Genomic DNA, 14131 nt, shown 5'->3' on the forward strand with positions numbered 1-14131 from the left:
CTTTGGGAGGCCAAGGCAGGTGGATCATGAGGTCAGGAGATCAAGACTATCCTGGCTAACACTGTGAAACCTTGTCTCTACTAAAAATACAAAAAATTAGCGGGACATGGTGGCACACACCTGTAGTCCCAGCTACTTGGGAGTCTGAGGCAGAAGAATTGCTTGAAGCCAGGAGGCAGAGGTTGCAGTGAGCCGAGATCGTGCCACTGCACTCCAGCCTGAGCGACAGAGCAAGACTCTGTCTCAAAAACAAACAAACAAACAAACAAACAAACAAAACTAAGGAAAAAATAAGACAGAAGACACAAGTTACTAAAATCAGAAATGAAAATGGGAACATTACTACCAGTTCTAGAGAAATAAAAAGGGGTTATAAGACAGTACTGTGAATAATTATAAGCCAGCGGATTGGATAACTTGAATGAAATGAACAAATTCCTAACAAATTCTAAACCAGAAATAAATAAAAACTATGAATAGATCTATAACGAGTAAGAAGAATGAATCAGTAATCAAATCTCCTAACACAGAAAAGCCATGGACCTGTTAGCTTTATTGGTTAATTTACCAAACATTTAAAGAAGAACTAACACCAATCCTTCTCAACTTTTCCAAAAATATGACGAGGAGGAAACACTTTTTGATTTATCTGATGAGGCCAGCATTAACCATGATACCAAAGTCAAACAAGAGACTATAAGAGAAGGTCAACATGCCTTATGAATATTGATTTTTAAAATTCTCAACCACATACTAGCAAGCTTAATTAAGCATTAAAGGGATTATATACATTATGACCTAGTAGAATTTATTCTTGGAATGCAGGGATGAGTCAACACAGAAAAATCAATTAATGTAATATATCACATTAACAGAATGAAAGAAAGGAATCATATGATCATCTCTAATAATGCAGAAAAGGCATTTGAAAATATGTAACATCATTTTTTTCATTAAAACACTTAACAACAAAGGAGTAAAGGAAAACTACTTCAACATAACAAGAGCCATATATGAAAAGCCCTGAGCAAACCTCACACAAAATAGTGAAAGATTGAAAGCTTTTCCTGTAAAATCAGGAACAAGGCAAGAATAACCACTTTTACCACTGCTATGCAATATAGTACTGGAAGTTCTAGCCAGGGCAATTAGGCAAGAAAGATCACACACACACACACACACACACACACACACACACACCTGTTAGAACTAATAAATAAATTCAGCAAAGTATCAGAATACAAAATCAACATATAAATATCAATTGCATTTATATACACTAACAATGAGCAATCTGAAAAAATGAAATTATAAAAACAATTCCATTTACAGTAGCATCAAAAAGAAAAAAAACTTAGAAATTAACAATGGAGGTGAAGGACCACCATATATTGCTGAAAGAAATTTAAAAAGACATAAACAAATGAAAATACATCCCATGTTCATGAACTGGAAGACCTAATAGTGTTAAGAAGCCAACAGCACCCAAAGTTATTTACAGATTTCATGCAGTCCTTATCAAAATCACAATGATTTTTTTTTTTGCAGAAATAGAAAACCTATCCAATAATCAATATGGAATCTCAAGGGATCTCAAATAGCCAAAACAATCTTGAAACAGAAGAACAAAACTGAAGGACTCAACCTTTCTAATTTTAAAACTTACTACAAACCTAAAGTAACTAAAACAGTGTGGTATTGACATAAAGACAGAAATATAGACCAATGGAATAAAATAAAAAGCCTGGAAATAAATGCTCACATATATGGTCAAATGATTTATGATAAAAATGCCAAGACCATTCAATGGAAAAAAGGAAATCTTTTCAGCAAATGGAGCTGGGAAAAACTGGATACACATACAAAAGATTGAAGTCAAACTCTTCCCTCATGTCATACACAAAAATTAAATTAAAATGAATCAAAGGCCTAAATGTAAAACTTAGAATTACATAACCCCTAGAAACAAAACACAGGAAAAAAGCTTCATAAAATTAGATTCAATTATTTTTTGAATATGACATAGTCAATTATTTTTTGAATATGAGACCAAATAAATAGGCGATAAAGGAAAAAAATAGATAAATTGGACTTATGAATTTTTAAATGTGCATAAAAAACACTATCAACATAGTAAACAGGCAACTTATAGAATGAGAGCAAATATTTGCAAATTATATATCTGATGAAGGATTAAAATTGAGAATAGGTAGAGAACTCCTAAAATGCAACAACAAAGAAATAAATGACCAGATTCAAAAATGGGGAAAACACTTGAATAGACATTTCCCCAAGGACAATACGCAAATAGCTAATAAGCACATGAAAAGATGTTCAACATTAGAGAAATGCAAACAAGAAACTGCAACAAGATACCACCACACACCCATCAGGATAGCTACTACTCGGAAAAAAAAAAGTAAAAACAAAATAATAATAAGTGCTGTCAAAGATGTAGAGTATTTGAAACCCTTGGGCACTGTTAGTTGAAAGTAAAATGGTAGAACCACTGTAGAGAGCAGTATAGCAATTCTTCAAAAAGTTAAAGGTAGAATTACCATATGATCCAGAAATTGCTCTTCGGGGTTTATACCCAAAGTAATTGAAAGAAGATGCAAAGAGATGTTTGAATACCCATGATTATAGTAGCATTTATTTATAATAGCTAAAATGTAGAAGTACCCCAAGTATCTATAGGATGAATGAATATGCAAAATGTAGGCTGAGGTATGAGAGAATTTGGAGTTACTGTTTAATGGGTACAGAGTTTCAGTTTTGCAAGATAAAAATTTCAGTGATAGATGGTGGTGATGGTTACTTGACATTATGAATATTTAAAATCACCAAATTGTACATTAAGAATGGTTTATAAGGTGATTTTTATGTTGTGCATATTTTTGCACAAATAAAAAAGTGAGAAAGAATCTTCTATGACATCTACAAAATGTCATGAAGAAAGAAATTTCCTGTCTGTGTTTTCAATATTGATGGAACTGGCAAATTTTGGAAAAAACATGCATGGTATAATGTTATTATAAGAAATATATACCTAGTTTTAAATCTTGGAAGACTGACTCATATTCCTATTTGACAGAAACAATTCTGAGGACTCTAGGCTTAAAACCTTTTTGTAGCCACCTTGAGCCTTCAAACAGCCCTTCAAAAACTCAGTTTTTTAACCCAACAGACATTCAATCCTATACTAAGTTATGGGTTATTTTAAATCATTGTCTTGGGTTATTATTCCCTTGTACAATCAATTCACTTTGCATAGGGGTGATATTTTTTTTCTTTAAGAACTTAAGTAACTTGAAGTTATGAATAAAATATAACAACATTTATTTGATATTGGGTTTTGTCCAGTCCAATTCAATATATAACAAGTAGTCAAGATATATCTTTACGTCAATTCTTGATTATTTAACTCATCTCAATCAAGTAAATGGTTTAGTGACTAATGTGTGTTCAGCACTGTTCAATGTGCTGTAGGAAGACAAATCTATGCAGGCTCCAGCATATTTGGAGAAAGAAGAGTGATGTTGCAAGGTTTTTCATCAAACACAAGGAGGTATTTAGAAATGTCTACAGTGCTTTTGGTTTTCACAGTGACGGGGCACATTGAAGCCATTAAATGCTAGAAATTTAGGGATGATCAATATTCTGCCATGTGGGGGACAGTCCCACAAAAGTAAGAATTATGTTGTCCAAAATGTTAGTAGCACTCTTAGTTGAGAAACCCTGGCTGGGTATTGTGGGAATTAGTTAGAGTTATGTGAAATGATAACTCATGCTGAAGAAGTAGGTTGTTATCCTTTAGACAATGGGAGCTATCAAGTGTGTTTAAGCATGGGGGAGACTTGATTAGCTTTTGATTTTAGAAAGGAAACTGAACATGTATAGGCAGAAATAAGATGCAGGAAGACCACATAGTGGGTAATGTCAGCAGTGCAGCTAAGGAGTTGTTTCTTGTTTCTCATCTTGGTGTAGCTCTGCCCAGGGCATTGTAAGACATAAAATCATCAAATATTTTTTAAAAAATAGTCAGGAAGAAGAGATTCTAGCAAAAGTGACATGCCCATCTTTAAGCACATTTGCATGCTCAGGTGATGGGACATGCTAATTGGATTATTGTGATTGGACTAACCCTTAGAGCTAGGAGTATGGCCAATCTTAAACCAGCTACCTGAGAATAGAGTGATATTCTATGGGAATTCAGTGTTCTTTCAAATATACCAAAGAAAGAGGAATAGGAACACACAATAATATGTATATACAATGGGGAAACACATGAAATAGTTGTAAAATAGTACATAAAAGTACACATGGGAATGTGGAAACTTATTCTTACAAAAGCTCTTGGAAGTCTTACAATACTTAGCATAGGATCAAATATGTAGTGAATCTCCAGTAAAAACCTGCTCAATTGTATTGTGGGACGGGTAATACATTTTAATTTTACCTTTTGCAAGAGAAATATCTAAAAATTGCTTATCAATTGATTGACTGCATACAATATTTTGAGATATCTATGTAACCAACAACATACTAAACATTCTGTTCTCTGCAGAGAAATCAAAATAGCAAAGGTATTTATATACTAGATAAAAAGGTAAAAAAGAAACATATGAAGAAAGTAAAATCTAGTACTTAATTGAAGATATTTAATGCCAAGAATGAAAGCATTTCAGAGAAGAGTGATTGATATAAACTGGTGTAATCAGTAAAGTTTTTGGGGAAGAGAACAGCCTAGAAGAACAGAAAGAAGTTGGGTAAAAGGGTAAAGAATTGGGGCAAACAAATGAGACTTAAACAAATTGGGTCAAAAATGGTGATGTAGGCCTTGTCTCAATTTTGGCATTTACTTCTCTGCGACTGATCCTTTTTGGTCTCAGATTTCTGATCTGTAAATGCAACTAAAGAGGATTATCTTACAGGACTGCTATGAAAACTAACTGAGACGGTATGTGTCATAGCTCCCGGAACTGTGCTCAGAATGCGTGCTCAGATATTCTCAATCATTTGTTTGTTCATTCTTGGAATGAGAACTTGTAACTTTCACTGTGACAAGTCAAAATTGTGAAATGTTATTTTTAAGGGACCTAAGGATCACCTCTGACCATTTCAATGTCCTCTAGCCATTCAGTTGAGTTGCCCACACTGCAGGACTGGATGCTACTTTATTAGAAAACATATTTCATTTAGTACTGTTTCCACCTCTATTCACAAAAAATTGGGGAAAAGAAACCTGTTCTCATTACTCCACAGACACTGCCATTACCCAGGTTCCTGCATGGAAACCTCTGGTTAGAAATAGGACCCCTTTCATCACCAAGGAGAAGGAGGCCCCCATTCTTCCTCATCAAGTGTCTTTAATTAGGTTCTTGAGAAAACCACAGGAATCAATGTTTGACGCCAGAGATGACTAAAATAAAATTCAGTACTGAAACTTCCATTGTATATCCTGATTCTTTCACTTGACAAAAATTATTGACAAGTCATTGGGATGTCTTTTTGTAAGACTTGTTTCCTTCTTTCAGTTGCATAATTTATTTTCTGTTTTTTAAACATTTTTATAAGCTTTTTAAAGAATGATTTTATTATTTTTTCAAGCAGTATATTGTATATAAGTTCCCAAATTCAGGTAAATGTCCTTATTTTCCTTCTGCCTGAATTCCCTTTATAGACTCAGTTTTCCTTTTCTCTTTCTTCGGTACTTCACTCTCTGCCTTCCAGTCCTCCCTCCATATGCCCTGTTTCTTTCCATTTGTTGGTTTAATTTTCTGTGGTAGTTTGATTCCTCTCCGGTTGATCCCAGTCAACATAACAAAGACGGCAGCAGAGCGGGGATTGGACCAAATTCTAGAGACAGGCGCTGTTCTTCAGTCAGAGCAGGTGCACGGAAGCCAGAGGGATGCTCCGTGCCGGCAGAGCCAGCAGCTCTCTCAGCATCAAGGTAGCTGCTGCTGCCTTACTCAGAGCTCGTTACGTTAAATGGAAGTCAGCTTTAAACATTCATTCAGATGGATTTATTTAAAGGTGTTTAAGGTTCAGCTGAGTTTATTACTACAGACGTGGCTGGGGCCCTTACAGTTTAGCATAATGTTTCATCAGCTGCAGTTCCAAATACACCCATGTGCTGTCCGTTGACAGGGGTATAGGGGTCTTTTACAGCAAAACAGAGATTGCCGGAGAAGGTTTGCTAGAGAACTTCTTTCCATAATACTCTGAGGGGGTTAACGTTTATGAAGATTTTAAATCTTTCCTCTTGGCTTGAATTATCTTTTTTTTTTCTTTTTACCCATCCCTGTCTCCAAAGAAAGCAATAAGCCTGTCAAAGGAGGAATTAATTAAGCAAATCAATCAGTCAGTTTTATTAAGGAATTACAAAACCCAAGTGGAGCATTAATTATTCAGATAATGGGATATCTCTGAGCCTTTCTTTTCAATTATTGATAAGCTGCTATCTATCATTCAAACTGCTTTAGTACTGATTTAGCTGTGAAGGAAGCCAGGTCATTCAGCCAGAGCATATGCTAGTTATGAGCAGTGCTGGGAAGCTGAGGATATAGGAACTGGCTGGGGTACTGTGTCCACCCAGTGTGAATGCAAGCAATAACTATCACGAGGCAGAGACTGGGCTACACTGCAGATATCTCCGTAAAAGTCTCACCTCACTGGCATCACCCACCTGATTAAAAATGTGCACTGAGGCGATGAAGCCAGGGACTTCTTTTCCTTTACCACATTTGCATTTTTTCTTGGCCTTACAAGAATGGCTACCAAGCAAAGTAACACTTGCAATAAAGCGAATGCTGTTGTTGTACAGCTAAGAACAATTTTTTAAATGGCCTTTGTTTTTATACCTGCAGAAACTTTAGATTTTTCCCCTCCAACATCAGGGACAAAATATTTCCTTCAACCTCAGAAATATCTGGAACGCTCCTTGTTTTAATGTTTATACATATATCGATATGAATAGATATATACAGATGTAAGATCAAAAGTTCGCTCAAATCTTTTCTAATTTGTTTTAGGAGTTCGATCAATTATTCTCTCTCATCAAAGATTTATTTAGTACTTACTAGGTGCTGAATCCTGATCATGTAAAGACTGAGATTACAAGGCACTCATGGTGCTGTGACAAAGGCATATACTAATACAAGATTTATTTTATTTTAATCATACAAACCATCAGTCTCTCACAAGGAAATTTAAGGTAAGCAGAACCAAAGATCTCAGTGTGGTACAGAGGATCACAGCAATGAGTAAAATAAACAGATAATTTGTTCCTCATAAATCAAAGAAGAAAATGTATAAAACCCAAAGGGTCCACCAAAAGGTTAAAGAAACGCTCATGGAATAAAATAATATGTGGCTGGCACCAGGGCAAAGGGAAGAGTTTCTGGGCAGAGCCTGAGAGCATAGGAACAATCCTGACTCTTTATATCACTAATGGCTTAGTTTTGGGCTCACTGGCCACAGATAGATACATTTCTTAAGCTCTGTGCTCAAGCCAAATTTTGAAACATTAACAATATATCTCAATACTTAGAAAATTCAGGAGTCAGCACCAGCTTATTGGAAAACTGTTAAGCAACACTGTAAAACTACCTACTTCCAAGTTATATCTCCCTCCTCTGAACTCTTGTAGCACTTTACATTACTCATATCCCACTTAACATATCCTGTGCATGTTCAGCCAAAGGCTTTAAGCCTGCTACCATATTAAAAGCTACTTGAGGCAACACCAAAAACATGAGCCATAAACTAAAACCTTGATTAATTAAAATTCATAAAATTAAAAATGCTTGCTCTGCAAAAAACACAATTCAGAGAATAAAAAGATCAAAGCCAAAGATAGGGATAAAATATTTGCAAATTGCATATCAACAAAAAAGTTACATCTAAGATAGATAAATAATTATCAAAACTCAAAAGTAAAAAACAATTAATTAAAATGGCTAAAAGGTTTGAATATAGACTTCACCAGAGAAGACATATAAATGACGAATATGCACGTGAAAAGATGTTCACAATCATTAATCATTAGTAAATGCAAATTAGAACCATAATGAAATACTACACACCTACTAGAATGGATAACACTTTAAATCTGACAGTACCAAATAAATATGCAGAGCAACGGGAATTCTCATACATTGCTAGTGGAAATGTAAAATGGCAAAACTACTCTGGAAAATAGTTTGGCAGTTTCCCGTACAATCAAACTTACACTTTTCATATGATCCAGCAATTTCACTCATTACCCAAGAGTATTAAAGACATGTTCACACAGAAACTTGTAAATGAATGTTCATAGCAGTTTTATTTTTAACTGCCTAAAACTGGAAACAACTCCAATGTTGTTCAACAGATGAATAGATAAAGACAATCTGGTACAACCATTCAGTGGAATACTACTTATCAATAGAGCGCATTGAGCTGTTTATACATGCAGTAATATAGAAGAATCTCAAAAGCATTACGCTAAGTAAAAGAAAAACAGACAAAAGCTTACATATTGTATATTCTATAAGTATAAAATTCTGGAATATGCAAAACTATAGGAATAGTTTTTCACATATTATTGGCAGCCGAGGTTTGGGGGTGGAGATAAGGTTTGTCAACAAAGGAGCAGCATAAGGGAATATTAAGCAGGAGGATGAAACTCTTCTGTATATTGATTGTTATTGTGGTTTTTTTTTTACAAAAAAGAGTAAAGTTTACTATATGAAAATTGAAAAATATATTTTGAGAAAAGAACTTGAGTGTAGGAACTGTGCCATATTCACTCTTGTAGATGTCAGAGTATAAGTATCAAGATACATACATGGTAATAGTTTAACACACATTTATTGAGTAAAAGATACTATAGTTCAAACTTGAAACTTCCACAATTGTTCATAAATATTTGATAATTGTTAGAATAAACTGATTTAGAACATTATGCTTCTGCAAATAGTGATTTTTTTAAAAGATTTTATGTAAGTCCTGGTAACCAGATCTTTCTGCAAGAAATGCTCTTACTAGTGAACCAGACATCATGATAAAACAAGCTTACCTTTACATTACTATTAGTACAGTTCTTGACTCAGCACAACTCAGCACTTGAATGACAAACAAGAAAAGGCAAATATTTGTTGAACGTTTGGGATATGCAAGGAATTTTAATAAATTTTGAACTATTTTCTAATTTGCTCTTTAAGCAACAATTCAGGAAGGTATTATCTCTGTTTTGCAGATAAGAACAGTTAAGTATCTTACCCAAGTTACACAATTGTTAATGGGGAGACACATGACTCAGCTGAAATCTTACTGGTTCTAGTCCCTGTCCTGTCCATTAATCAAAGCACTTTATATCAGTAACCACACATGGAAAGCAGCAGGTGGGAAAAAGAAAAGCAAGACATCGAGATGAACCAGGAATCAGGGCTGAGTCTGGGATAAATCCCAGAAATTATAATGAATTTTGAGCTGCTACTCTGAACCCAGATAAGTGGTGAGGGTTGATACGCCAGGGCTTGATTATTATGACCAGTGCCAGAAGGAAGAAGAAGCATGTATTAGGGAGTAAGGAGAGGGGAAAATCTTTTGCAGATGAGCTAGTAATTAAAGCATACCAATATCAGATGGCAGAGGAAGACAAAGTTCCAAATGTTTAATGTGTTCCTATTATATGCCAGACCTTCTGGTGAGCAATAGGGCCAAAAGATAAATGAGACAGTGTCAGCCTTTGAGGAGCATAGAATATATTAGAGGGAGACCATAGGGTTTGTGGCTCCTTTCTTTTTTAATTAAAGCATGCCAAAATATGCTGCAATAGTTGTAGGCACAGGATACAGAGTGGTCATAAAAGAAGGAATGGCCGCATCTATTTGGAGGATTTAGTGAAGCCTTCAGGGAGGAAAGGATGTTGTCATAGTCTCAAAAGATGAGTTGATTAGCCAGATGGCCAGAAAAAAATGGAGATGGTGCTAACATTCCAGGAAGAAGGGATAGTGGGATTAAAGTGTGAAGCTGATACTAGCATGGTATGTGTGAGGATATGAAAGACATTCAAGAGGATTAGGTCATGAGATTTGAGCCGAGAGTCTATGGAAATAAGATTAAAGTTATGGGCAGGTGCATATCATAGTGACCTTTGTTTTAGTCATGGCAAGAAAATTTGACTTTATTTAGTAATTACTTGAAATTTTTGGAGGCTTCTTCAAAGAAGTATAGTGTAATCAGACTTGCAATTTAGAAAGATGCGGCAAATAGTCTTAAGGATTGCAAAACTGGGGTATGAAATCTAGTTAGGACACTACTGTTATTCCTCCAGGCACCAGACAATGAATGCCTTCTAGGTGAAGAAGATGGATTAATATTCATACTCATCTCCTTTGCTCTTCTCCTCTCCTAAACATCCTAAAGTACAATGTTGTAAAGAAACAATACAAAATGTAACTAAAAGCAAAAATATCATGAGTAGAATCATCAGTTCAAAAGAAATGTCGACCAGCCTGGCCAACATGGCGAATCCTCGTCTCTACTAAAAATATAAAAATTAGCTGGGCGTTGTGGTGGGTGCCTGTAATCCTAGCTACTCTGGAGGCTGAGTCAGGGGAATCGCTTGGACCTGGGGGACGGAGGTTGCAGTGAGCCAAGATTGTGCTACTTCACTCCAGCCTGGGCGAAGGGGTGAAACTCCATCTCAAAAAAAAAAAAAAAAAAAAAGTAAAAGAAAAAGAAAAGAAAAAGAAACAGTAAAAGAAAGAAATGAAATGCCTGTAAACTTTTAGAAGCTAGAAACAGACAGAGGAGAACTAACTGATAATAAAGAACAGAAAATACCATGGTTTGGGAGCACATTAAAAAAATTAAGAGCAAGAAGAAAGCTCTTTGTTTTGTTTCTGTAGAACCAAAAAATGTGCCAAATTCAAGGGAAGTTTGAATATAAAAGAGTTTGCCTCCTACTCCCTCACCTGGTTTCTTCTGCATGCACTAGGCTTGTATACATGTTTTGCCCCTCTTCCTGATTTTCCATCCCAACATTTTGACATCCCTTGTAGTGACTATAGTGGTTCTTTGCTTGTAGTGACTCCTTTTAAATATTTATTCAATGAATCAGAGTCATAAACCATTCGTCTCTCACTATACTCAGCCACCTTCAGAGCCCCTCCTAATTTGAATGATCAGATCATCTGACTGCTATTTTAAAATACTGTTATGTACTAGACATCATGCTGGGTTGATTAAAATAACTCAAATAAGCAAATTAATATGGAAAGGATTTTGGCAACACCACCTGTAATCCCATTCAGAGTTGAGTTGCAGAATTATCAGGTAGGCTATGTGATTTCCTCGGCCTGAGCACTATGTGACAGGGAGGCTATGTGCTTTGGTGGCTTCCTGGTAGAACAGCCCCCCACATCACAGAGAACTCAAGTGTATGTATTTTGTTTCCCAGCCTATTTTTTATTTCTCACCTCTGTCTCTAATGATAGACCAATAGCAATGCCTTTAAGATGGAATTTGGGTTTCATAAATAAATTTGAAAAAGAACTTAAAAGTGTTAAAGAATTGGGTGGAAAGGTGTCATATTGTGATTCTGACCTTTTGGTTAGAAATTGACTTCTGCATCTGTTTCCCCCACTTCACCACTATGACATTATAAGCCTAAGAGAACAGTATGCCAACCCCAGTAGCACTATTAAACTCTCTTGTCTTCCCGGCTTTGACATGAGGTGGTCCTCTGACTTCCTCCTTTTGCCTCTGGCTTCTTGATGTTACTTGATATTACTCTTCCTCCCCAACAGCATTGACTTCAACTCTGACTGCAGAAGGAGCTATTGTATTTAGGAGAAAAGGGTAAAGACAACAGACCACTTGGCCCTTGTTCTGAACTTAAATATTCTCGGCAGAGCAGTGGAGTCTTTTGAAAGCTCTGTTTATTGGTGTTCTAGGTCTGGATTCCTCATTTCCTTCTCTGTTTGAGAGGTGAGGATGAGGGAATTTTGGCATTTGGATGCTTTCCAAAGCTGATTTTTTGTCAAAAGCTGGCTCCCCAAATATTACCAACACAACCTCTTAGTAAGAAAAAACCCTAATTATTTGCTTATTATTGTAAGGAAGAACACCACTTTGCAACACTTTGTCAGTGTCTTGTGGAGAGAAGATAAGCTTAAAAACTATTGATTTTAGGCAAATCTTTCAAAGTTGGAGTTTGATTACATTTGGGTAAGGATTGTAATAAAACTGTCCAGGATTTGTGGAAATAGCACAGTGAATATTTTGAGTTAGGAATTCAAATAATTTGGGAGAACAAAGTGTTGATGTTTTCCATTGAAGAATTGAGTCTTTCAGGAAGTTCCTGTAATGAACAATCAAAATATTTGCCCAGGCAAGAGACTTTTGAAAGAATAAAGCCATGCTAATGAAGAAATAGCAATAACAAAGACAAGCTAACAGAGACAGAAAAATGGCACAGTCATGCTATTGTAGGTGATAAAATGTGGTTTCAGTTCTCAGTGCCCAGACAGAGTGTGGAGATCGACAGCTTTGGCTCTCATTGTCACCACAGTATCTGTCAGTATTTTCTGATTATTTTGCCCATTTGTTTTTCAACTTTATTAATTATCTCACAATGAGATTTTGCTCATTTATTCCACTCAGTGGAACTGAAGATATTGATATTTGATAGGATTAAGTTTGAATTCAGGGTCTGCCATTTCCTAGCACTGTGACCTTGGTTGAGTTATTTCATCTCGCAGAGCCTCAACTTTCTTACCTGTAAATTGGGTGTCTTAGTCTGTTCCTGCTGCTATAATAAAATACCTCAGACTGGATAATTTATACAACAGAATAGTATTGTTTTCAGTTCTGGAGGCTGGAAAGTCCAAGATCAATTCTCCTACAGATTTGGTTTCTGGGCAAGGTTTGCTCTCTTTTTGAAATATGATGCCTTATTGCTACATCCTTCTATGATTAAAGAAGGCAAGAGAGCTCACTTGAGACTCTTCCATAAGTACACTAATCCCATTTATGAGAGTGGAGCCCTTATGACCGAATTATATCCCAAAGGCCCCACCTTTTAACTATATTAGGTATTTGGGTCCACCATATAAATTTTGAGAGGATACTAGCCTTCAGACTATAGTGTTGGGATAATGTTACTTACCTCAAAGAACAGTAGCTCAGATCAAGAGTAGGATTTCACAGCGTTGTGATCTCTTTGATAATGCTATGTGTGTGCCATTTTACTGGGTTTTCTGTCCTGACTTTGTTTATTGTCTAAGTCCTCATTTTTGGACAATCATTTCCCTGAAAAACTGGCTAAATTTTTTATTTTTCCCCCTCAAGTTTTGTTGCATTTCCAAGGCACTGACAATTTTGCATGAACATTTGATGTATTATTTGGCCCAACCTTCTGAAATTTATGCAGCCTTAAGCATGGCGAATTGGAAAGAGCACTGGAATTGAAGTCAGAAGTTCTTGACTTAAGCCTCAACTCAGCTACCAACTCTCCCTGTGACCTTGGGCTAGGATAGCCAGGCTGAAATTTGGCTCATTTACACTCCTAGTTCTAAATCAGGCCCTGCTGAGTGTTTGGACTTTGAAATACTTCTCTGAAGAGACATATACTCATCTAAGCAGTTTGCCAACAATTTCGTGGAGTTTCCTGACATATCTCCATGGAACTCTCAGACTTTTCAGAGCATGGTTGGAAAACAACTGCCATGAAATCATGGCATTGAATTAACAAAACTCATTTTTTTAATCCACTCATTTATTCCACAAATATTTATTTTTGATAAGTGCCAAGCTTAATAGGAAATAAATCGAAATGATCCTAGGGATAGAAGATAATAATTTCTTTGACTTAGAAGTCTTGTGATTCCAAAGTCCTTAAAATGAAAAGAAACTCTATCTCCCATTCTACCCTACCCCCAACACACACACACATATGCACACACACTTCACCACCACCATAGCTGCCAAGCTTCATAAGTTCCTCCATCTCTGCACTGCTTGTTCATTAGGAGGGTGCCCCTTAAGCAGCACTGGGGCCAGGCTTCAGCTGCTCAGTCATTCTCAATTTGTCTCAGCCATATTATTTCTTCTACCAGCCATTTCGGAGCATGTCTATGCC

General features: G+C 36.0%; 1 annotated feature.

The window, feature by feature from the left end:
• Positions 12154–12702: an enhancer, noted in NCBI's record as "OCT4-NANOG hESC enhancer chr18:39044150-39044698 (GRCh37/hg19 assembly coordinates)". NCBI's record gives its function as "activates a minimal SCP1, AML or CMV promoter by ChIP-STARR-seq in primed H9 embryonic stem cells {active_cell/tissue: H9 hESC(primed)}" and the evidence as "EXISTENCE:reporter gene assay evidence [ECO:0000049][PMID:30033119]".

Source organism: Homo sapiens, chromosome 18 (assembly GCF_000001405.40).
Source record: "Homo sapiens chromosome 18, GRCh38.p14 Primary Assembly".
NCBI lineage: Eukaryota > Metazoa > Chordata > Mammalia > Primates > Hominidae > Homo > Homo sapiens.